This window comes from Homo sapiens, chromosome 4, assembly GCF_000001405.40.
Source record: "Homo sapiens chromosome 4, GRCh38.p14 Primary Assembly".
NCBI classification, from domain to species: Eukaryota; Metazoa; Chordata; class Mammalia; order Primates; family Hominidae; genus Homo; species Homo sapiens.
In genome coordinates this window covers 145,027,107-145,053,801 of record NC_000004.12, presented here as the reverse complement: position 1 = coordinate 145,053,801, position 26,695 = coordinate 145,027,107, and the positions used below count along the sequence as shown (strand labels likewise).

The window sequence follows — 26,695 nt, the reverse complement described above, 5'->3', positions numbered from 1 at the left end:
GGAACCTTTTTTTTTTTTCAGCCTCATGTTTTACATGTGAATGAAGAATCAATGAATCTTCAAGTCTCAGGATAAAGGAATGAGAATATTGAAGCAGAAACTGCAAATAAAAGACAATGCATACTTTTCTGTGTCCATTTCTCCTTCATAAAGGAATTAAGAGAATTCTTCCTACAAGGATTTGTAGATATTTGGGAATCTTTCCTCTTGTATTTGAAATTATAGTTGATGGTACAAAACAGAAACCGTAGCTTAGCCATCTCACCACTTTTTTAGAATCTGTTGCCTACTTTGTAATTAGATAGCTAATTAATAATGATAATTAGCTAATTGGATGGCCTACAGCTAGTCTTGATTTCTTATACTTAATTAAGTAGGACAGAGGCAGTACGTAGAGGAAGCTTTCTAAGCACTTACCATGAGAAAAGATCTAGATTTAGACTAAGTGGTACCATAAGTATGAGGCAATAGTAGGGAAATTGTTCAGATAATATGTTAGCTATCTATTTTAATCTTTATTGAGCCTAAAGTCTTTAGATTTAATCTTGTTCCAAATTAACATGTTTCCTGAGTAGCTATGTGAATTTTCTGTTACTTATTTTTGATAATGAAAAGATTAAATTCTTGTTCTGGTTCTTATATATCTCCTAAGTTCCCATTCTTTGCCACTACATAAACAAAACATAAGGGCAAGTCCCTCATATTGAAAATATATAATCTTCTCTGAATCTTCTTCCTCATCAGTCAGGATAAGGTTTCTTAGGGTTTGCCTGGCACACTTAGCTAAAATAATAATAGTATTTATAGTACACTGGCAACTGCTGTTTTTCCTACTTCTTCCCTGAGACTGTATATATGCTGCTAAAGAAATGTGATTTTTATAATAAATGAGTATCCCTTTTTTTTTTTTTTTTGAGACAGAGTCTCGCTCTGTTGCCCAGGCAGGAGTGCAGTGGTGCAATCTCGGCTCACTGCAACCTTCGCCTCCCAGGTTCAAGCGCTTCTCCTGTCTCAGCCTCCCGAGTAGCTGGGATTACAGGTGTGCACCACCACACCTGGCTAATTTTTGAGACGGGTTTTCACTGTGTTACCCAGGATGGTCTCAATCTCCGGACCATGTGATCTGTGCCCGCCTGAGCCTCGCAAAATGCTGGGATTATAGGCATGAGCCACCGCACCCAGCCCCCGATATTTTTTTTAAATAGGAAAACCTCCCTAATTTTACAATAGAAATCAATATAGTTATTTATAATTGAAACTTATAACCAGTAACAACAAAAATACTATTTTATTGTATTAGTATATCTATTTTATCTGTGAGAACAACTAAAATTAGAAAATACGCGGATTCCACCTCTGTAAACTGGTTAGGCTAGTGTTATTTTACTAATTTTTAAATTTAGTTTTTTAAATTGACAGAAAATTGTGTATATTTATGGTGCTTATAATGATGTTTTGATATTTTTATACATTGTAGACTGACTAAATCAAGCTAATTAACATAGGTAATACCTCACATATATGTCATTCTTTGTGGTGTGAACGCTTAAATCTGTCTTAGCAATTTTCAAGTATACAATATATTATTATTAATTGTACTCATAGTGATGCACAGTAGATGACTTGAACTTATTTCTTATGCCTCACCGAAATTTTATGTCCTTCGACCAACATCTCCCAACTGTCCCCCTTACTCCCAGCCCCAGGTAACCATCATCCTACTCCCTGCTTCTGTGAGTTCAACTTTAGATTCCGTGTATAAATGAGAAGATGCAGTTCTTTTTTCACTCCAATTTTTTAAAATGTTACTTAAAATCATATTTTCTTTAACATACAGTTTTTCAATTTTGTAGGAGTTAACCTAAGTAATCAGACTATGTGAAATCCTCTGAGGTTGACTAAAAGGTACTCTGCGATTATTTAATAGATAGTGTCCTTAGACTAAATTAAATTTTTCAGGAAAATTATAATATTCTTCAAAGTCCTGTTGGCTCCTTCTCTCATTTCACTTAATTATGGTGAATCTGGCCAATCCATATATATAGTTTATATAGAATGTCTCTTTACAATAACTGTATGCAATAATAACTATGTGGCTGTTGGCTTATTCCTCTAACTGCATGAATTTTTCATGAATTCTTTGAGATTCATGAAAAAAAAGAATAGTTCTTTAAAAATTACTGCATCCATTTTCATTGTATACTAAGTACTATACAGGCCTACCTCATTTTATGCTTTTCACCTTATTGCACTTTATAGATAACTGCATTTTATTACAAATTGAAGCTTTGTGGCAACTGTGTCAAGGAAGTCTATTGGCACCATTTTTTTTAACAGCTTGTGCTCAATTCCTGTTTCTATCACATTTTGGTAATTCTCACAATATTTCAAACCTTTTCATTATTATTATATCTTTTATGGTGATCTGTGATCGGTGATTCTTAATGATACTATTGTAATTGTTTTGGGACGCCATGAACCATGCTCATATAATATAGCAAACTTAATTGGTAAATATTGTGTTCTGACTACTCCACCAACTGGCTGCTTTTTTATCTCTTTCTCTCTAATTGTGTTTTCCTGTTCCCTGAGACACAACAATATTGAAATTAGGCCAGTTAATAACCTAATTAATTGGCTTGATTCAATTAGGCCTCTAACTAATGATGATGGTCTCTAACTATTTAAGTGAAAGGAAGAGTTTCACATCTCTCACTTTAACTCAACAGCCAGAAAGAATTAAGCTTAATGAAGAAGGCATGTTGAAAGCCAAGATATGCTGAAAACTAGGCCTCTTGCTCCAAACAGCGAAGTTGTGAATATAAGGGAAAAGTTCCTGACGGAAATTAAACGTGCTACTCTAGTGAACACATGAATAATAAGAAAGCAATACAGCCTTATTACTGATATGGAGAAAGTTTGAGTAGCCTAGATGGAAGATTAAACCAGCTACAACATTCCCTTAAGCCAAAGCCTAATCCACAGTATGGTCCTAATTCTCTTCAATATTAGGAAGGCTGAGAGAGGTGAGGAAGCTACAGAAGAAAAGCTTGAAACTAGCCGAGGTTGGTTCATGAGGTTTCAGTGAAGAAGCCATCTGCATAACATAAAAGAGCCAGGTGAAGCAGCAAGTGCTGATGGAGGAGCTGTAGGAAGTTACCCAGAAGATCTGGCTAAAATAGTTGATGAGGGTAGATACACCAAGCAACACATTTTCAATGTAGACAAAAAGCCTTCTACTGGAAGATGCCAGCTAAGATTAGAGAGGAGAAGTCAATGCCTGGCTTGAAAGCTTCACAGGACAGGCTGGCTCTTTTGTTAGGGGCTGATGCAGCTAGTGACTTCAAGTTGAAGGCAGCCCTCACTATTCTAATAATCCTAGGGTCCTTAAGAATTATGCTAAATTTATTCTGCCCATGTGCTATAAATGGAAGAACAAAGCCTGGATGACAGCACATCTGTTTAGAGCATGGGTTCCTGAATATTTTAATCCCACTGTAAAGACCTACTGCTCAGAGAAAAAGATTTATTTCAAAACACTATGCTTGTTGACAATGGACATAGTCACCCAAGAGCTTTGATGGAGATGTACAAGGAGGTAACACAACATGTATTCTGCAGCCCATGGATCAAGGAATAATTTTGACTTCCAAGTCTTATACATTTCTTTAGGCATTAGCTGCCATAAATAGTGGCAAATGATCTGATGGATCTAGGCAAAGCAAATTGAAAATCTTCTGGAAATAACTTACCATTCTAGATGTTACTGAGAATATTTGTGATTCACATGAAAAGGTCAAAATATGAACATTAACATTAGTTTGGAAGAAGTTGATTCCAAGCCTCATGAATAACTTTGAGGGTCTGAAGGCTTCATTGGAGGGAGTAACTGCAGATGTAGTGGAAACAGCAAGATAACTACCATTAGAAATGGAGCCTGAAGGTCAGGTGCATTTTGGGAGCCTGAGGTGGAAGAATCTCTTGATCCCAGGAGCTCAAGACCAGCCTGGGCAACATAACAAGACCCCCATCTCTACAAAAGAAATTCAAAAAAATTAACTGAGTGTGGTGATGCACATCTGTAGTCCCATCTACTTGGGAGGCTGAGGTGGGAGGATTGCTTAAGCCTAGGTGGCGGCGGTTCCAGTGAGCCATGATCATGCCATTGCACTTCAGCATGGGCTACAGAGAGAGACCCTATCTCAAAAAAACAAAAAGAAATGGAGCCTGAAGATGCGACCAAATTGCAGCAATCTCATTATAAAACTTGAACAGGTGAAGAGTTGCTTCTCATAAATGAGCTAAGAAAGTAGTTTTTAGTGTGTGAAGGTGCTGTGAACATTCTTGAAATGACAACAAAGAATTTAGAATATTGCATCATCTTAGTTGATAAAAGAAGACTGACTCCAATTTTAAAAGAACTTCTACTGTCAGCAAAATGCTATTAAGTGGCATTGCATGCTACAGAGAATATTTTTCATGAAAGGAATATTGAATAAATGAGGTAAACTTCAGTGTTATTTTAAGAAATTGCTTCAGCCACCTCAGCCTTTAGTAACTACCACCTTAATCTGTCAGTAGCCGTCATCATTAAGGTGAGATACTCTGCCTCCAAAAAAAATTACAACTTGTTGAAGGATCAGGGGATTGTTAGCAATTTTTAGCAGTAAAATATTTTTTTGTGAGGATATGTACATTGTTCTTTAGACATAATGCTATTACACACTTAATAGACTACAGTAGAGTGTGAGCATAATATATGCACTGAGAAACCAAAACATTGTATGACTGACTCACTTTATTGTGATACTCACTTTATTGCTGTGGTCTGGAACCAGACCCACAATGTATCTGGGATATGCCTGTACTTATTTTAGATATAATTGCTAAAACTTTAAAACTTTATCTCAAAGTTGTATTTTCCTATTTATAAATTAGAGCAAAGAGGTATTACACACAAAACTTGCATAAGAAATAACTGAGATACTGATAGTTTCAGTTATTCCTGTATCTTTGGACTATTCCTCCAATGGTTGAATTTCCTTTTTTTTTTTAAATTGGGGCTGCTTGAAAAACATACATGTTCTTTAGCAATTTTGAATATTATTCTTTGGCAGCATTGTTTTAGAAAATTGTTTTCATAGAATTTCTTCTTAGTATCCATGGACCTATATTGAGGGAGGTGGTTGGGGGAGAAATATGTCAGCGCTGTCAACTACCAGTAGATGGTATTAGTAGTTGCTTCTATAGTTAAAAATCGACACATGTGATTAAGTAGACTTAATGATGACCCTTTGGAAATGAATCTGTAAGTAGAAGAATCTCTATACTGTGTCAGAACCAGTAATGATACCCACTTCGTGTTGACTGTCAGGAAGCTTAGAACCAAATTTGTGACCCATGTGGTAACAATTGTATATATTTATTTCTATACACTAATCTTGGCCCTCAGTTATTTATTTTGTCATATTATGGCATATTTCTTTTCAGGGCCCACAAATCTTTGATGGCTTTGGTTAGCACAAGGACATTACCTGTCTTGATCATCTTGATCACTCATGTAGCTGAGTACCTACCACATAGGTGCTCAGTTAATATTTGTGCAATTTATTTCTGCAGTGGCCTTTGATATTTATTTTAAAGATAGTGGAGGGGCGTCCGTTTTAGCTTTACTGAGGAAAAGAATCCAAGGCAGATTAGTTCTAAAATTGATTCGACTCTAGCAGCCTACTTTCTGATATAAGCATGTGATCTTAGAGAAGATAATAATGACTAAAGGGAATGTAATATAGCTTTGGGGAATATAGGGCAATCCTAATTTGCCTCTTATCATAGCCCAGAGGTTATGAGCTCTGGCTAAATATGATAAGCAAGGTACTTTAGGGAATAAAGAGAGACTGAGGAATGAGAAGAAATCTCTTTCTGCCTTCACTGTTCTACCTTAGTATTTAGGTAGCCACTTCACATTTAAGATAATAAAAGGGTAAAAGTTGAGTCAAAGTTACTGTCAGCCAGTTTGTAAAATCTAGTTGAACAATAATCTCATCAATTTAAAAATTTTATCATTTCTCTGAGGAAATTTAATGAAAGGCATTGAGAAGTGTTCCTGACTTTAAGAAACTTATTGTGAATGAAGAGTTGCCTTGTGTTGAGAGGGAATTGTCTCTGAGGAAATTTAATGAAAGGCATTGAGAAGTGTTCCTGACTTTGAGAAACTTATTTTGAATGAAGATTTGCCTTGTGTTGAGAGGGAATTGTCTAAGGCAGATATGGAATTCAAATTTGAAACTTTTCTGTTGACCAGGTTCAGGATTATCGGTAGCATGGAATTATCATGACTCACTGAACTCCATTTAACCTGAAGTTATAGTCATTTGAAACTTGCTGATATTCCCCCAGAGTCATATTGTACTCGCCATTGAACGCAGAGTTCTCTAACCTTGGCTTACAGACGGAAAAACCCAGTCTGTTTCATAACCTGCAATCTGGGTTTTAAATATTGTTTTCAGAGTAGGACAGAAGGGTGAGACCTAAGCCAAATAAAGGAACATGTTTCTAGATTGTCTTTGCCACATGCTGCTTTAATCATGGGGTTTGGAGCCTGTCAGATCAGAGTTGGAATCTTGGTATTATCACTTCCTTGAGAGAGAGTACAATTTCTCTGTTTTTTCTGAGCCTCTGTTTATTTACTTTAAAAAATGAAAATTACAATGCCTGTCTTGTTTGGGTGGTTGTGAAAATTAGATAAGCAGTGTAAAAACATCTACCATGAACCTAATATGTATAGATTCTTAGTCAATATAACTTTACGCCCATCCATACTACTTTTCTCTGTTAGCTTTGTAATGGCTGCTTGCTTTATCCTTACTCGTACATGACTGTACAAGGTTGGAAAGTGCTAGATAAATGTGTCTTATGTATATTAAGACATGCTCAAGTTATGGAAAATGGATAGGTTGTCTTGGATTCAATTCCTTACTATCAGATCTAAGCATGAAGTGTTTTTTTTAAGGTTGATATTTGGCATTTCGATATCAGTGTTTTCTCTGTTGCAACTGGACAGAGAGAACAACCTATGTAGGTTATTTGGATTTTTAAAAAAATTATTTTAATGAAATTTCCCCTGGCATTCGAGTAGATATACAGATTTAATTCTTTGAAACTACAGCATCAGTGGCATTATTTTTTGTGGCATATGTAAAGCAAGAATTTAGCAATTTTAAGCTTCCTAGTATTTAGCTAATAACTTCACATACTGGAGCACATCTTTATCCGTTGTGTCAAAATATTAGATATTTTCTAAGGTAATAGTTTTACTAACGTGGATACTTCCTTTGATTTTGTTCTCTGTTCTTGAAATTGTTTGTGCTTATGGAATTTATTTTGTTATATTTAAAAAAGTAAAGCTGACTTTATAATATGGATGACTTTGAATTTTACTTCTTAGCCCTTATACTTTCTATGCAGGATGTATTTTTAAAAAGAAATACAATATTTACAGGAACAAATTTATAGAGTAGGGAGTATAAATGGGCATTTTAAAAGTTATTTATATACATCTTAACTGCCATGACTTTTAGCCAAGCCAGTATTTTCAAGAAAGCGCTGTCTATCCTAATTGCACAAATATTTTTGCAGACTTTTCCATTAAGCAGTGAATGAAGCCCTGAAAGTCACTGTAGCCAATGTGAAGGCAGAGGATTTGAGAGTAGTAATGGATTTTTAGAAATGCTTAGGGTGCGCTCCTGTAACAGGGCATTTGCTTTTAGGGCAGTTTGGCCCAACAATTGAACAAATTAGTTATGTTTGAAAATTTATAAAGCAAAAGCATAGATAATCATAATATAATTTTTGCTAGAACATATGTTAAGTTGGCTTATTAGATCAGATCGTTTTTTAAAATTACAGTATGAAAAAGTTATTCAACTTATTTTAAAAATTCTTCTTTGCAAAGAAATTGATACCTTGATACCCATGGCATTAAGACAGCTTTTTACTTCTTTGTGGGCTGGCATAATGGACAGACAGTACTTTAGCCTTGGAAATCAGGAGTATTGACGTGTGACATTTTAGATGAGTATGTGTGTATGTGAACAGGTACATGTGGATGCAAGCATGTGTGTAGAAGATCACGTATACATTCATATATGTGAGAGTGCATTTGGGTTAGAAGTGATATGAAAAAAAGTGGAGTATTGTATCTTAGTAAACTTTTACTTCATTAATCTCCTTCAAGTTGTTGATCATTAATAATTGGATATTCTTTTGTAGAATGGCTTTGGAACTTGGCAGTATTCTGTAATCCAGTTTTACAAGATGACATGGGGAGATGACCAGGGAATTTACTCATATTTTTTTTAGGCCGAGTGATGTTGATAGACCACAGTTTGGCAAAGTAGACAGATCTGGTTTCAGATCTTAGTTTTGCTACTTACTAGCTGTGTGAATCTTGGAGATATATTTGGCTCTTTTGAAACCTCAGTTTCCTCATATATAGAATAGGTGAACAATGTCTGTCTTATTGGATTCCAGAAAGAATTAAGTAGGATAAAGTTTGCAAAGTACTTATTCACATTACCTGGTCACATAGTAAACAGTCAGTTAATGCAAATTCTCTTTTTGGGTGTGTTTTTAAAAAAATAAATAATATTTTACAACTTAAGCCTTTTTTGAATATTTGAAGTAAAATGCAAATTTATTTTTACATTAGCTTTTGGAGAGTATTAGTGCTTTCTGCATCTTGGGAGAAATCTTATTCTTTTATTTAGTTGTATAAACATATAAGCAAAAGTAGGCATAATAGCTGATTATTGTTTTAAAAAAAAACTTCCGAATGTTTATAGTGAACTTCTATAAAATGAAAATTACTCTGTGCAACTTATGTGGCATAATTTACAAATCAGTTCAATTTGGGGAAAATATAATTTATATCAAATAATATACCACCAATTTGGGGGAAATTATATTACTATAGTGTAATATAATTATAGTGTGTTATTAACTATAGTGTGTCACTAAGATAAACTAAAAAGCCCATTAGTTAGCCAGTATTGTCATGTTTCTGAGGTTAATTGGCTGCATTCAGTTATAGGTTATGAACGGTACCACTTGAATGATCCACCAAGCTATCAGGCAGAAAGACCAATAGTTCACAAGACTAATTGACCCTGTCAGTATAATAGAAACACTTACAAATAAAATTCTCTTTGCAAACAACATTGCGAATGAAAACCCCAGAAGAAACTGTTATGTCCTGTAACTGTCCTGGAATGCTATGATTCAGTTAGCAGACTGTGGGTGGAGGTGGGTCATGGTGGGTGGGAGTTGGGGGGAAGGAAATGCAAAGGATAGAAAGGAGAATTTTGGAGGGAAATTAATCAGACAAAACGTTAGAGAGAAACACACATTTTTTGAAATGATTTTAACCTTCTTGAATCTCTAAAAAGTACTGTCTTTAAATTTTTCATTTTTTTACCCTTGTTCTGTATCTTAAGCCCTTTTGTTAGATTTGATAGTCATTGTTGCATTGAGCTCTTTTCTGAAAGGTAAGAACGTATTTTTGTCAAACACATTGCTATAATGAGTATGATGTGTGGCTGCCATTCTTCAGTCTTTCTTCATTTACATGTATCATCAATATAATGCAAATACTGTCAAGGGCAGCATTATCTCCTTGAATCTATTTTTTGTTTTGTTTTTTAGTATAGGTTTGTATTTGTGCTGGTGCAGGAGGAAGGGGGAAAGTGTTGGGAAGAAACATAGAAAGAGAGAAAGAACATTTACTTTCTAACAAATTTTGACAATTTGTTTTTCTCTTTTTTTGGTAATGATCAAAATTATATATTAAAGAACTTCCCAAAGCAATATATCAGCTTTTATTAAAGAAAGCAAGTATTTTCAAATGCTTTAAGAAACTTGGTGAACTCTAGTATAAGGGTTTGGTTTTCAAAGGGAAAAAAAAGAATTTTATCTGGAAACATTTTAGGTAATATGGATCCTCCAGTTAATCTATGGGAAATTATGCAGCAGATATCAGCCTTCATTTGTAATACTGTAGGAGGGTGATAACTTTCCTGTTGCATTTTCTTTTTGTAAAAGACATCTTTTACTTTGTCAGAAAACAACAGTCAAGTTGTAAATGGTCTTCAAAAATAGTAATAAAAAAAGATTTATAATGGAAAGAATTGATGGTATATTTCACCTAAAGTAAGAAAGACAATGTGTAATAAGGGATTTTGCGGTTTTACAGCTCAGTGCATGTGTTTGAAAGCTGTTCTCTCAGCAACGTGGGTGGCAGGTTATGCTACCATATAATGTATTGTAGTTGGCTCTCCACACTTGTCAGGGTTAGTGTTCAACCATTCGGAAAATTTTCCCATTGTTCTATCATGTGAACCAAGACTAGTGTAGAATTCCCAATAACTTACAAAAAAAGGATTAATTAGAAAGTTTGAAATTTGATTACTTATTGTTTTAATACAGTACTATGTATTTTAGTATTTTATCTATAATTAGAATTGTTTTTTAGTCAAAATAATGTATCAAAATCAAAACTTCATCTTATTTTTTAATAGATTTTACAGAAATTTGTATACTGAATCCTGCCTCTTTTTTTTGTATTAACACTGTTTCCATCTTAAGCATTTTGCTTTAGATGGACCATAGCTCTTGGCAGCTAGTGCATTTTTAGCAAATAATACTGTTTCTAGTAAGAGTTGCAGAGAAAAAAAAAAACTTTGTGTGAGGTCCTTGTAAACTGAACCTTTGGAACATTACTTTATTTCTTTTTTCCCCTCTTTTGTGCTTCTTCGCTATTTGTGTAATGGTTATAAATTACATCGTTTGAAAAGAAGAATTAAAAACACTTTATTTTGTTTTTTTTTTAGACAATTTTTTCTTTACCTGTTATTTTAAAGATGTACAGAGAAATAAGCAGTTAGGGTATTGAAATTCCATTGTGCCAGCACCTCCAGAGCATAATCCAAAAAAAACAGAAAACCGCCTGCTGGGTTGTCTGCAGTATGCTTGTGTGAACATCAGTGTCTGCTGTTCACACATCATTTTTTTTTTACTGAAAGTTCCTCTTGGAATAAAGACTCTGTGTTTTCTGAGTGTAGTGAAACATTTGTTGGTTCTTATATTTTTCAATTTGTGAGGGATTCTGTTTATAGGATAAGTTGTCATGGCTATATGTTGCACTAATGTTATTGGCACATCAAAAAAGTAGAGAAAAGGCTTGTGTATTTATATACTATAAAATAATGAAAAAATGAAATTAGAAAGTATTGAAGGTGAGAAATTTTGTTGAAGATATATGTGAAGAAGGATTGATTTAAATATTGATGTTTGCCCTTTAAAATCTATTTTATTTATAAAGTATATCTTGGCTGGATTATACATCTGAAAATATCATAAATGTCTTGTATTTCACTTGGAATTCAGATTCTTAAGTATGTTGGCTTCTTGATAGTATTGTTATGAGTTAGTCAAATTTTTCAACTGACCCTACATAATCAAGGAACGTTCAGGAAGTATATTTATGGGTGCTTAGAATAATTTTTAATTTTTGATTATGTTTCATATCATTTATTTTTACTCTTATGCTACTGAGTATCACGTTAGATACAGGCAGCAAACTTGTGAAATGTAGTCTAGTGTGTTGGCAGTCTCAACCTTCATTCAGATTCATACAGCATCAAAACAAAAAATTATTTACCAGATAATAGGGAACTTAAGGTTAAAATTTGGTAAAATGGATGTTGTGATCCACAGTCTCCCCAAAGGTTTATTGGAATTATTCAACATTTTTTGTTTTTAACTTTCTATATAGAAGTTAATAAAGGAATAAATATACATATCTGAAACTGGGTTTTTACCATTTTGACTATTTTTTATAAAGATATAATTTCAGGTTTGTTTGTCTCTGAATTTCACTCTGAGTTTCTTGATCAAAATTCAGATGCACGTTTACATTTCATAATTGTTGTATGAATCTTTTAATTATTGTTTCTTGTGGTTATTTAGGATAATATTGCTGTATATCTGGAACCAGTTATTAAATTTTAGTCAATAGATCCAATAGTCAATGAATGATTCTTGCTCCTCAATTTGCTTCTTATTAGTTGTCTTATTCTCTCACTGAATCCAGAATATGGAAGAGATTGTCATCTAAGCAAGACATATCTTGCATATGCCTTCTAGAAGGGGAAGTGAAAGCACCAAGTCCTTAATGTGTCAGTTTTCTAAGGGCCTACGATGTCTGAGTTTCTTGATTGCCAAGAAGCCTAATTCTTCACAGGGCAACCTGGCATACAGCCATTTCCACACTGGGCTGTTCGTTGGTACTTGTGAATAGAACAAAAACGGTCTTTGCTTTTTCTCCTCAGTTATCAATGATTATCATTTTTGGAAACAAGTTAAAACATTTTTCTCAAAATGATGATTATTCATGTCAAGATGAAGTCAAACTTCATGCTATCTAAGCTGTAAGTAATAGAGTTAGTTCAGTATTTTAAAAATTCATGTAAAATAAAATTTGTTACTTCTCACTCCAAAATATTCATTTTGTAAAATTTCACCTTAACTATTGTTAGACAGATGTTCTAGATTTAGCTAAACACTTTTGAAAGTAAATTATGAGGTGGGTTTTTGGCTAATTTTTATACTTCTATAAGTAAAATCTGTTATATATGAATTATGGGACCACTAGAAGTCATAGATCCTACAAGCAAAGTGTTTGTGGGTCATTGGGTTGGGGAGCTACTTCAGTTGTTTTTTTTAATATAACTGGAGGTGTATATTGGATTTTTACCTCTGCGTAGATCTGTAGTAAGAACTTTGTTCCCATTGTCATGCATTATTTCTGTGCATATTAACTAATAATATAAAACAATAAGTATTATGAGACTTTCACCCAGTTGAATTAGTTTCTTCCTTCTCAGTCCCCTTCAAAGTTCCACATCTCTTTATAGCATATGTAGAATTATGGCTTTTTGAGTTGTCGGTATTTATTCACTTGTACTTATCTTAGAATATGTTCTTTTATTTTTATTCTAGGCATACATACATACTTTAAGGTTATTACTTCGGTGATGTTCAGGATTTTGGTTGGGTAATTACTTTCAAATCCTGGCTAGCTAGGTCACTAGCTAGGTGACCCTTGGGCAGATTGTATAACCTTTCTATGAACTTCAGTTACCTATAAATTAACTATAAATTGGAGATATGATGTTGGGATGATTGCAACAAATGTTTTAAGTGCCTGGAACATACTAGCAGCTCAGTGAATGGTAGCTGAAAGGAGCAAAGCCATTAAAATTTGTTATGTTTTTATAGGTCTTAAAAGCATACAATAGGCTGGGCATGGTGGCCCACGCCTGTAATCCCAGCACTTTGGGAGGCCAAGGCGGGTGGATCACCTGAGGTCAGGAGTTCGAGACCAGCCTGACCAACATGGAGAAACCCCGTCTCTATTAACAATACAAAATTAGCTGGGTGTGGTGGCACATGCCTGTATCCTAGCTACTCAGGAGGCTGAGGCAGGAGAATCGTTTGAACCTGGGAGGCAGAGGTGCGGTGAGCCCAGATCGTGCCATTGTACTCCAGCCCGGGCATCAAGAGCAAAACTCCGTCTCAAAACACACACACACACACACACACACACACACACACATACACACACACTAAAACAAAAGCATACAATAGTTTGCTTTTCTATATAATCTCATGAAATTAAGAGTTTTCATTACATCTAACTGTTTATTTCTTTGGGTTGTTAAAGATCCAAGAGCATGGGCTTTGGAGTCATCTGCTGGAGTTTGAATTCTTGCTCTGCCATTTAACCATGAACCTTGGAATGTTAGCCTCAGATTTCTAGTATCTAAAGTGAAGATTAAAAGAATGTACCTTGGCTGAGTACAGTGACTTACGCCTGTAATTCCAGCACTTTGGGAAGTCATGGCAGGCAGATCACAAGGTCAAGAGATCGAGACCATCCTGGCCAACATGGTGAAACCACGTCTCTACTGAAAAATACAAAAATTAGGTGGGTGTGGTGGTGCGTGCCTGTAGTCCTAGCTACTCAGGAGGCTAAGGCAGGAGAATTGCTTGAATCCGGGAGGTGGAGGTTGCAGTGCTCCAAGATCTAGCCACTGCACTCCAGCCAGGCGACAGAGCGAGACTGTGTTTCAAACAAAAAAAAAAGAGTATACCTCATAGGGCTATTGCAAGGCTGGAAAAAAATCAATACATCTATAGTTCTTACAACTGTGCTTGCCAAAGAAAAAGTGCTTCCAAAATGTTTATTGTTATTTATTATTATCTCATAGAAAAGGAAAAATCTAAAGCAAGAAAACTTGAATGGAGTCAGCCTTAATCATGTCTCTTTCATCCACTCCTATATAATTCACACTACTTTTCTTCCCAATCTCTTTCAGAATTCCACATTTCCACAAAGCATATTTAGATTATATTGAAGTCAGAATTGTGCATCTTATTCATTACCTACATAGGATTGCGATAACCTTGCAGTAAGAATCGCTTAGCTGTGGAATTCTAGTTTGAAAATAATTTTCCTTAGAATTTTAAACACATTTTCCACTTCCTCATTGTTTTTATTGTAAATGTTGAGAAATACAATGCCACTTTTGATTTCTGATGCTTTGCATGTGACCTATTTTTCTCTGTAGAAAGTGATGTCTCGTCATCAGAAGTATCTGTTGAATTTGTTGCCTGCTTCTTATAGGTTTTGCCTTAGTTAGCCTTTTTTTTTTTTTTTTTTTTTTTTTTTTTTGAGACATTGTTTTTATTGTAAATGTTGAGAAATACAATGCCACTTTTGATTTCTGATGCTTTGCATGTGACCTATTTTTCTCTGTAGAAAGTGATGTCTCGTCATCAGAAGTATCTGTTGAATTTGTTGCCTGCTTCTTATAGGTTTTGCCTTAGTTAGCCTTTTTTTTTTTTTTTTTTTTTTTTTTTTGAGACAGAGTCTCACTCTGTCTCCCAGGCTGGAGTGCAGTGGTGCGATCTTGGCTCACTGCAACCTTGGCCTCCCAGGTTAAAGCGATTCTCCTGCCTCAGCCTCTTGAGTAGCTGAGATTACAGGCATTCACCACCACACCCAGCTAATTTTTACTATTTTTAATAGAGACAGGGTTGCATCATGTTAGGCTGGTCTCGAACTCCTGACCTCAAATGATCCTCCTGCCTTGGCCTCCCAAAATGCTGGGATTACAGGCATGAGCCATTGCGCCTGGCTGCCTTAGCTTTTTTCTTCTTTTTTTTCTTTGAGACGGAGTCTCACTCTGTCATCCAGGGTGGAGTGTAGTGGCACCATCTCGGCACTCTGCAACTTCTGCCTCCTGGGTTCAAGCAGTTCTCCTGCCTCAGTCTCCCCAGTAGCTGGGATTACAGGCGTGCACCACCATGCCTGGCTAATTTTTGTATTTTTAATAGAGACGGGGTTTTGCCATGTTGGCCAGGCTGGTCTTGAACTCCTGACTTCAGGCAATCCACCTACCTTGGCCTCCCAAAGTGCGAGGATTATAGACATGAACCACCATGCCCGGCCCTAGTTAGCTTTTTAACCGTCCTTTTGAATGACCTTTTATCTATTATTTATTTTTATTTTGTAGAGATAGGGTCTCACTATGTTGCCAGGCTTGTCTGGAACTTCTGGCCTCAAGCTATCCTCCCCTTTACGCCTCCTAAAATGTTGAGATTACAGGCGTGAACCACCAGGCCCAGTCATAAAATGGCCTTTTAAAGGCTTCATTGTTATCAGTTGTTTAAAAGGTAGGTTGGTGTCCATGTATCTTTCTGCTTCAACTGGATTTTTTTTTTTTTTTTTTTTTTGAGACAGGGTTTTGCTCTGTCACCCATGCTTGAGTGCAGTAGCGCAATCATGGTTCACTGGGGCCTAGACCTTCTAGGTTCAATCGATCCTCCTGCCTCAGCCTCCTGAGTAGCTGAGACTACTGGCATATGCTACCATGCTCTGCTAATTTTTGTGTTTTTTGTAGAGACAGGGTTTTGCCATATTGGCCAGGCTGCTCTGAAACTCCTGGGCTCCAGGGATCTGCCTGCCTTGGCCTCCGAAAGACATGGGATTATAGGTGTGAGCCATTGTGCCTCGCCTTCATCTGGATTTTTAAATAAGCAATTGTTTACTTAATAGTTAAATGATTTATATAAAAAGTGTTTTATAGTGACTTTTTGGCATTTTGAATTTATGATGCCCCCACCTGTTTCTCAGTGGGTTGTAATCCAGTGGCATGATATCAAATAGCCTGTTTTCTTAGATATATTTCTGACACGTTTACTTAAAGGCTAGTTTTAACCTTTCTTTCTTTTCAATATTTATTTACTGTTAAAATTTATGGTGATAGGGCTGGGTGTAGTGACTCATGCCAGCATAATAAAACATTTAAAAAATTATGGTAATAGAATGATAGTGTACTTTTTAATTTAAAAATTACTCATACATGTGAACAGTCTAAATTTCTATATGTTTGCATAAGATTTTCTCATACCTGCCATACATACAATTCTGTTTCATTTTTGTTCTAAGATAAAAGATACGTTTCAATATCATGTAGCAGCAAATCGTGATGTTACCTGGAGTATGAAGGACTTGGAAAAAACTAAACCTCATGGATAGCATGAGGAGCTCCGCAACTGTGTTCTGGAGTTTCTGTTGGGTCCTTAGTGTTTCCCTGCTCTCCAGAGTCCATAAAACACACATTCATGCATGCACACACATACACACACACACACACACACACACACACACACACACACACACACGTTATCTATTTGGTATAAGAAATAGAACATTATGAGTATCTCAGTTCCTGTCACAAACCTTCCCCTACCCTTTAGGGAAAACTATGATCCTTCCTTTTTATGTTAACTTTCTTAATTGTCTTTATAGTTTTACCACTGTGAATATGTACCTCAGCATTAATTGAGTGCTTGTTTTTGAACTCGAAGTAGTTTAGACTTGGTATTGTTAAGTTTCTGCCTTTCTTTTTTTGTTTTGCTAACTTACTAAGTCATAGTTTTTTATTTTCAGTTATACTAACTTTGAGTTTTTGTAATTTAATGTTTCTTTTTACTACAGTAAAACATGTATGTAGGTTAAAAGCGTGAAAGAGCTGGGTATGATGGCATATGCTTATAGTACCAGCTACTTGGGAGGTGAAGCAGAAGGATTGCTTGAGCCCAGGAGTTCAAGGCCAGCTTGGACAACATAGTAAGACCCCAATCTCTTAAAAAAAATAGTGTGAAATATTTGCAGTAGCACTTGCAACAATCATACTTCTCACCCTGTCCCACACTCTTGCCTCACTCTTTGGGAGCAATCCTGTTAGCTATGTTAGCCAATTTTTGTTAAAAAATTGTAGAAATATTTACTTTCATATTTCTAAATGCATGTACGTAGATACCTGTATTAGATGTGTACAATTCTAAATAACGTGTACGTATCTATATTTAAAGCTGTGATCTAATCATATCTGCTATAACACATCAGGATTTAGCTCTATAATCCCATTCCTTCTCTCATCTACTTCCCTTATCTTCATCTTACTAGTGTAGGTTTTTGTGGTATTTGCTGAAATCATTATGCATGTTTTCATTATTATGATCGCATAAGTATTTTTATGCCTGAATCATACCATGTCCTAATGCTTAAATTTTTTTTAGGCATTATTTTGTTTTCCTGGAATTAATACTTTACCTTGTTTCTTAATTTTTAAAATGTTGGTTACCAACATATGTCTAAATTCTCTGACAGATTATAAACTCTTTCTTGAAACAGCAATACGTAACTCTCAGTTCCACATTTTTTCTGGGTAACATCCCTCCTGGACTTCCAGCTCATCTGCTACCAGTGGAAGGTCCATCAGAAAAGCAGAGAGTGCTGAGGAAGACCAGGGGTGTATAGTAAGGGATTTACTACAGGGATTTTACCTTTCCCAAGTAGAAGTTGGTTAAATAAATTCTGTAAGACTGTTGTTTTCACATCTGATGTAAACAGATGAGCGTGAAGTCCATAGGGCAGGAAGTTGAAAGTGAAGATTTATGTAAAGTGGTGGGGAACAAAAACAATCTGGAACCTATGAGCACAGGCTGGAACCCATGAAGATGAACTGGAATCATTCATGTTCACTGCCTCCAATCTTGTGACAAGTGTCCTGCAGAAGAAGTTGATTTCTTTTTTCTTAGAGCTAAACACTCACCTGACCTAGGAGTTGGAGAGCCTGCAGGAAGATCTAAGGGAATGAGGGTCAGTTGTAGGCCTGGCTCCTGCCCCATGACAATGGTGTGAAGCAGTAGATAATGACAATGTATATGATCTATAAAAGCGCCTGCTTGTCTTGAATGTAAAAATAAAATGGCTGCTGCCTCTCTTTTGCTCTCCAAAATCTTGAGAGCTTGTTTGGGGATTCTGTGAGGGAAGCACAGCTACTCGTATATTCTTGACCAAAGAGTGGTCCTCCTCTATTAGGGAGGGTCGTCCTCTTTGACCAAGCACACAGCTTTGGGAGAGATGCACACAGAGCAGTGAGGGAGGAAGTTAATACCAATCTAGCCAGCTAGATCAGCTGAAATCAACTCTGGTGATTAGTGGGGTGACAGATGTCGCAGCCGGATTGCCCTCACATCCTGCTTTCCAAATCTTGCATGAAAAGAACTCTTGTGTCTCACCTAACCAGAATTGTGGGTAAGGGAGTCTTGAGAAATGTACTTTAGACTAGCTTGAGTTGACACATTACAAAGTCGCCACAGGTGTCCATGAGAATGTTCCTCTCAGATCTCTGCCCACAAACAGTAACTGACTGATGGCTCCAGCTGCTGCTCTCTGAAATCCATCACCATGTTTGTTCCAAGGCCATGCTTCCCACATTCTGACCCAGTCAGTGGCTGAGCACAACAGGGACACTAAAGCAGGCTCATTCCTGGGAGACGTTGAGTCATCTGACAGACAGTTTCATCAGATTTTCCTTAGACCGGCACTGCAGCCTAACACACATCCACCCAGCCTGCCTTCCTTCCCTGTCCCCTGGGTCGAACCTGCATCACCATCTGTATTAGTCAGGTTTCTCTTAGAGGGACAGAACTAATAGGATTATATACATATAATTTTTATCCTGTATATAGGATATTATATATAATACATATCCTTGTTATAATATATATAGGATATGTATGTGGGATATATACACACACACACACACACACACACACACACACATATATATATATATATATATAAAGGAGAGTTTGTTAAGTGTTAACTTACAGAATCACAAGGTCCCACAATAGGCTGTCTGCAAGCTGAGGAGCAAGGAGAGCCAGTCAGAGTCCCAAAACTAAAGAACTTGCAGTCTGATGTTCAAGGGCAGGAGGCATCCAGCTCAGGAGAAAGATGCAGGCTGGGAGCCTAGGCCCATCTCTCCTTTTCATATTTTTTCTGCCTGCTTTATATTCACTGGAAGCTGATTAGATTGTGCCCACTAGATTAAGGGTGGATCTGCCTTTCTCAGCCCAGTGACTCAGATGTTAATCTCTTTTGGTAACACCGACACAGGCATACCCAGGATTAATACTTTGTATCCCTCAATCCAATCAAGTTGACTTTCAGTATTAACCATCGCAAGTCTACCCCTTGTCAACTTGAACCTATATGTATCTGCTGAGATCCTACATAATCTTCATATAAAGACAATATTGGGTCATAATTATGCCTAACATAATACAACTATCCTTCGTACAACCAGAAATGCATCAATCCCCAACCCAAATACTAGTACATACATGAAGTTAACAATACTTAAATGCTGATGTGAAGTCTGTAAATCTTACGTCACTTGATAAAGGAAAAGGAAATAAAATGAAGATATTTTCTTAGTACAAGTCTATACATGCATAAACATGTTTTTAACAAAAGCAGAAGGAACTCATGACAGTTACAGTCCTCATTTCTGCAGCTGGTCACAAGATTGTAGCTGGTATTGATGACTGCCTTCTTCTACTACCCGTTCTGTATTCCCTTTGCCTTCAGCAAGCACCTCATCAGGTCATGGATTTTTTTTCCTGGTGGAGTGACCCAAAGCTTTGTTCCTGAAGGGTCTGGGTCATTTGTAGTCCTGCCTGGATTGGGCTGTTGTAGTTTCCCATTGACCTTAATCACAGGGCATAGTAATATTAAGAGATGTCCTAATGGATCTCCTGTATTCCATGCATATTCTTCCTTACTTCCATTGTGGAGTAGTAGACTGATTTCATCTTGATAGTCCAGGTCAGTCATCCCAGCCAACACTGTAACTCCCTTTTTAGCCTATTGACTTAAAGGTAAGAGGAGCCCAAAGTGTACAGGTGGCAATCTTAACTTCCAGTTTAATGGAATCGTTGTTGTGTCTCCAGGTGGCAGCGTTCCTCCCTCTGAAACTAAGACGTCTAGGCCAGCAGAACGTAATGTCGTGGGAACAGGAAGCAAAAATGTTGCCAGTGGATCACCAGGGGTGATGGTGGTACCATTTTCACTTCCACCCCTTGATTCCTGGAACTGTGAATCCTGGCTATGGGAGAAACTGTACCATATATTGGACCCTGATTCAGAGCATACACAGCCTTCTGGAGAACTTTGCCCCAGTCCTGCAAAGTATTGTCATCTAGTTGGCATTGTGATTGTGACTTCAAAAGGCTATTCCACCATTCTGTCTATCCAGCTGCTTCAGGATGATGGGGAACATGGTAAGACCAGTGAATTCCATGAGCATGTGCCCACTGCCATACTTCTTTAGCTGTAAAGTCAGAGGCAATGCTGTGTGGAATACCATGACAATGGATAAGGCATTCTGTGAGTCCACGGTTGGTAGTCTTGGCAGAAGCATTGCATGCAGGATAGGCAAAACCATATCTGGTAAGTGTCTATTCCAGTGAAGACAAACCTCTGCCGTTTCCATGATGGAAGAAGTCCAATATAATCAACCTGCCACCAGGTAGCTGGCTGATCACTCTGAGGAATGGTGCCACATCAAGGGCTCAGTGTTGGTCTCTGCTGCTGGCAAATTGGGCATTCATCAGTGGCCGTAGCCACGTCAGCCTTGGTGAGTGGAAGTCCATGTTGCTGAGCCCATGTGTAACCTCCATTCCTGCTACCATGGCTGCTTTGTTCATGGGCCCATTGGGCGATGACAGTGGTGGCTGGGGAAAGAGGTTGTGTGGTGTCCACAGAACGGGTCATCCTATCCATGTGATTATTAAACTCCTTCTTTGCTGAGGTCACTTGTTGGCGAGCACTCATATGGGATACAAATATATTCAGCTTTTGACCACTCAAGAGAGGCCCATCCACATACCTCTTCCCTAAATTTCTTGGTCACCAATTTTCCAATCATGATTCTTCCAAGTCCCTGACCATCCAGCCGATCCATTGGCTACAGCCCATGAATCAGTGTATAATTGTACATCCGGCCATTTCTCCTTCCATGCAAAGTGCATGATCAGGTGCACTGCTCGAAGTTCTGCCCACTGGGAAGATTTCCTTTCACCGCTGTCCTTCAGGGATGTCCTAGAAAGGGGCTGTAGTGCTGCAGCTGTCCACTTGCAGGTGGTGCCTGCATATCATGCAGAACCATCTGTGAACCAGGTCCTGGTCTTCTCTTCCTCTGCCAGTTGATCATAGGAAACTCCCATGAGGCCATCGGTGCAGGCTGGGGGAGAGATGTCAGGGTGGCAGGAGTGGAGAACATGGGCATTCGAGCCACTTCCTCATGTAACTTGTGCCTTCCGGACCTGCTCGAGCCTGATCACGTATATACCACTTCCATTTGATAATGGAATGCTGCTGTGCACAACCCACTTTATAGTTAGATGGGTCAGAAAGCGCCCAGTTCATGATAGTCAGTTCAGGTTGCATGGTGACTTGATGACCCATAGTCAAACATTCAGTTTCCACCAAAGCCCAGTCAAGAGATGTCTCTCAAAAGGAGAGTAGTTATTTGCAAAAGATGGCAGGCCCTTGCTGTGAAATCCAAGAGGCCTCCACTGTGATTCACTATGGGGGCCTGCCAAAGGCTCCAAACAGCATCCCTATCTGCCACTGATACCTCAAGCACTATTGGATCTGCTGAGTTATATGGCCCAAGTGGCAGAGCAGCTTGCACAGCAGCCTGGACCTGTTGCAGAGCCTTCTCCTGTTCTGGACCCCACTCAAAACTGTCAGCCTTTCAGGTCACTCGATAAGTGGGCTGGAGTAACACATTCAAATGAGAAATGTGTTGCCTTCAGAATCCAATTAGACCCACTAGGTGTCGTGCCTCTTTCTTGGTTGTAGGAGGGGCCAAATGCAGCAACTTATCCTTCACCTTAGAAGGAATATCTTAACAAGACCCACACAACTGGACCCCTAGAAATTTTACTGAGGTCGACGGTCCCGGAATTTTAGTTGGATTTATTTCCCATCCTCTGGCATGCAAATGTCTCACCAATAAGTCCAGTGTATTTGCTACTTCTTGCTCACTGGATCCAGTCAGCACAATGTCATCAATGTAATGGACCAGTGTGATATCTTGTGGAAGGGAAAAGTGATCAAGGTCTCTTCGAATAAGATTATGACACAAAGCCAGAGAGTTGATATACCCGTGAGGTAGGACAGTAAGGTAAATTGCTGGCCTTGCTAGCTGAAGGCAAATTGCTTCTGGTGGGCCTTATGGACAGGAATGGAGAAAAAGGCATTTGCCAAGTCAATGGTTGGATACCAGATACCAGGGGATATATTAATATGCTCAAGCAATGAAACCACATCTGGTACAGCAGCTGCAATTGGAGTCACCACTTGGTTAAGCTTACGATAATCCACTTTCTCCAGGATCCATCTGTCTTCTGCACAGGCCAGATGGGAGAGTTGAACGGGGATGTGGTGGGAATTACCACCCCCACGTCCTTCAAGTCCTTGATGGTGGCACTAATCTTTGCAACCCCTCCAGGGATGTGATACTGTTTTTGATTTACTATTTTTCTAAGTAAAGGTAGCTCTATTGGCTTCCATTTGGCCTTTCCCACCATGATAGTTCTCACCCTACCAGTCAGGGAGCCAATGTGGGGGTTCTGCCAGCTGCTAAGTATGTCTATGCCAATTATGCATTCTGGCACTGGGGAAATGACCACAGGATGAGTCTGGGGACCCACTGGACCCAGTGTAAGTCAGACCTAAGCTAAAACTCCATTAATTACCTGACCTCTGTAAGCCCCTACTTTAACTGCTTTAACTGGAGGACCGAAATGACTCTTTGGGTCCCCTGGAATCAATGTCAGCTCAGAGCCAGTGTCCAGTAGTCCCCAAAATGCCTGATTATTTCCCTTTCCCCAGTGCAGTTACCTTGGTACAAGGCCAGAGGTCTTCTTGGGGAAGGATGGGAGAAAGATTCACTGTATAAATTGTTGGTAATGTAGTGGGGTCCTTCCCCAAGGGGACCTGGCCTCTCCTTCATTCAAGGGGTTCTGGTCTGTAAACTGGCTCAAGTCTGGAAATTGAGAGGCTGTGATTCTCTGTTTTTATAATTCAGATTAGTCCTTTGTCCATTCGACCTAGAAGTTTTCTGTTTGTATAAGTTAAGTAGGAATGCAGTAGGCTTCCTATCAATTTCACTTCTAGGAACACCATGATTAATTAGCCAATGCCAAAGCTCTACACAAGTCAGACTATTCTGATTGCTGCTTTGCCTCTGCTGTCCATTACAGTAGCTATGCCTACCTTGCCTTTGATGATTGAGTGCTGCCACTTAGCGCCTGCCACCTTGGGATTCAATTATTCCCATTTTATTTAAATTTTGTAGTTGAGTGACCGTGGTTCTCATCGTTAGATCTGACATACAGAGAAGAGCAATTATAGGGCTCTTCAAAAATGGGGGTGCTGCCCTCACAAATCTGTTTTGCAAGGCATTGGTCAAGGGTATATCTTCTGGACCCTCCCAGCTGGGATGAGTAGGTCTAAAGTGACTAATCCACTACCCCATCCCAATCTCCCTAAGCTTTTGGATCCCTTCCTCTACATTAAACAAAGGGAGATCAGGTATTTCCACCTCTCTCACAGTGGGCCATTTTTTAATCCATATTTCAGCTAACCAAGGAAATAACCTATTAGAACCTTTTTTAACTCCTTGAGCTGCAACATTAAAAGCAGAGTCCCTACTTACTGGGCCCAAATCAATAAATTCAGCCTGATACAACTCTTATGTTCCTTCCACCATTATCCATACCTTTAATATCCATTCCCATGCTTGTTCTCTAGATTTCTGTTTATATTAATTAGAGAACTCAAACAGTTCTTTTCAGTTGTAGTGCACCTCCTCATGGATCACACTCTCAACTTCACCTCCAGGGTCCTGCCAGGACTTTAGTCTAATTATAGGTCTAGAAGCAAACAAGGGTGTCGGGGGTGGCTCCTGAGGAGAATCAACATTTTCTTGCCTGGCAGCTACCTCAGATCATAACTGTTGCTTCAGGCAGCACAGGGTTTATCTTCTCAGACAAAGGTGGAAAGACTGATGGCAGTGTGGGTCGGGGAGGGGATGTTGCCACTACTGGGGATGGTGAAGCTCTTTCTTCTGGCAAAAAACCTCATCAGAGTTTACGAACTCAGTGTCCCCAGCTTCATCAGAGTCCTCCCACTCTTCCTAATTCCAAGTTTCAGGGTCCCATTCTTTTCCAATCAATGCCCTCACTTTAACAGTAGACACCTGGCGAGGCTGTACATGCATCTTTCGTTGCAGGTCAGCCACTCACATGGTAAGAGATTGTGTCTGTTTTTCCACAATTTCAGCTTTTTCTCTACAGGAGTTAAGACTCCCACTTAGGGCAGTCTTAGCAGATTTGAGGGGTTAATACCTGCTTCTGAAGCCAGGAGTTAGAATCCCTGAGTTCATCATTTTCTTTCATCACTTTGTCCACTGAACTTAGGAGCAACCAACCAGCTTCATTATGTTCCTTGGTTCTCCACATATGGTCAAAGGTATTATGTGTAGTGTCATTAAACTCCTTGCCGCTCAAGAGTGGTGAATCAAGTGTCAAACACATTTATTTTGCATAACTCTCTAAACAGTTTACACCAAGGACTATCAGTATTTTCCATACTATTTGAAGTAGAGTCCTTAGCAGTTTTGGGTCTAATCATATTAAGCAGCCAACTCCAGAAACCTCAAAACCAATGAAACAACCCCATCCTTAATATTCTGTTCCTCTAGAACCACTCCTGGTACCAAAAGCTGTATTAGTCATGGTTCTTTTTGAGGGAAAGAGCTAATGGGAGATATGTATATATATGATATGAGTTTCTTAAGCATTAAGTTACACACAAGGTACCACAATAGGCTGTCTGCAAGCTGAAGAGCAAGGAGAACCAGCCCAAGTCTCAAAACTGAGCAACTTGGGAGTCCTATGTTCGAAGGCAGGAAGCATCCATCATGGGAGAAAGATGCAGGCTGGGAGGCTAGGCTCGTCTCTCCTTTTCACATTTTTCTGCCTGCTTTATATTCGCTGGAAGCTGATTAGATTGTGCCCACCAGATTAAGGCTGGATCTGCCTTCCTCAGACCACTAACTCAAATGTTAATCTCTTTTGGCAACACACACACAGGCACACCCAGGATTAATACTTTGTATCCCCCAATCCAATTAAGTTGACACTCGGTATTAACCATCACACCATCTAACAGCTCTTTCAGCTTCCCCTGGCTCCCTCCCCATTTTCTCTTACAGATATTTCCCCTACTAAATTTCTTGTATTTCTAACCCTGTCTTGGTGTCTGCTTCTCAGACACAGCTGTATTCTTAAGACATCCCTTTAAGATCATCCTGGGAATTTCCTTCACTTTTTCTTTTGGGAGACCTCTTATTTCTGGATCCCAGGTCTTCATCATTCTTGGTTTACTTCCTTTATTGGTGGACTACATCCTCCACATGGGAGGTAAATTGTTGAAACCTTGCATGACTGAAAACTTTATTTTAATCTCACCCTCAAGGGATGATTTGGCTAGGTATGGAATTCTAGTTTGGAAATAATTTGCTCTCAGAATTTTAAACACATTCTCCATTGCCTCATAGTTTTGGCGTAAATGTTGAGAAATACAATGCCACTTTTAATTTCTGATGCTTTGCATGTGATCTATTTTTCTCTCAAGTAGCTTTTATAATCTCCTTATCCTTGATATTCTGAAAATTCATGATGCTGTGCCTTATTGCATATGTGTTTCCTTTATTGTGCAGGGTGCTCAATGGTTTCTATCAATTTGAAGATACCTGTCCCTGAGTCCTGGAGACACTCTTGTGTTCTTTGATAGTTTTTAATAGTTTTCTCTGTGCTCTCTATCTGAATTCACATTTATTAGCTATGATAACCTCCTGCATTAGACCCCTAATTTTCTCATTTTCTACTTCTTTTGTTTTCCTGTCTTCCAATTCATTTAACTTCTATTAAATTAAGAAGTTTTTGGCCAGGTGTGGTGGCTCACGCCTGTAATCTCAGCACTCTAAGAGGCTGAGGCGGGCAGATCACCTGAGGTGAAGAGTTCAAGACTAGCCTGGCCAACATGGCAAAATCCCATCTCTACTAAAAATACAAAAATTAGCCGAGTGTGGTGGCACTCGCCTGTAGTCTCAGCTACTCGGGAGGCTGAGGCATGAGAATT

The 26,695-nt window shown here is 38.2% G+C and overlaps 1 protein-coding gene and 1 pseudogene across 20 annotated transcripts in view, besides 1 other annotated feature; one reads left to right on the top strand and one right to left on the bottom strand.

Annotated features, from left to right (window-relative positions):
* Positions 1-26,695, top strand: part of ANAPC10 (anaphase promoting complex subunit 10) — a 103,997-nt gene that overhangs the window by 44,770 nt on the left and 32,532 nt on the right. For 3 of the 20 annotated variants that reach the window (XM_011531525.3, XM_017007642.2, XM_017007641.2), the window contains one exon: positions 20,431-21,289. The exons of 16 other annotated variants lie outside the window; for them this stretch is intronic. In XM_011531525.3, coding sequence (XP_011529827.2) covers positions 20,431-20,532 — 102 coding nt within the window. In that variant the 3' untranslated portion in view covers positions 20,533-21,289. Of the gene's footprint in view, positions 1-21; positions 18,429-20,430; positions 21,290-26,695 lie in introns of those variants that run through there. One more of the 20 variants, XM_047449505.1, reaches the window with a different exon arrangement.
* Positions 12,297-12,346: a silencer, noted in NCBI's record as "silent region_15722". NCBI's record gives its function as "represses an Ori minimal core promoter by ATAC-STARR-seq in GM12878 lymphoblastoid cells {active_cell/tissue: GM12878}" and the evidence as "EXISTENCE:reporter gene assay evidence [ECO:0000049][PMID:35858748]".
* On the bottom strand, positions 18,366-18,670 carry RN7SKP235 (RN7SK pseudogene 235; annotated as a pseudogene).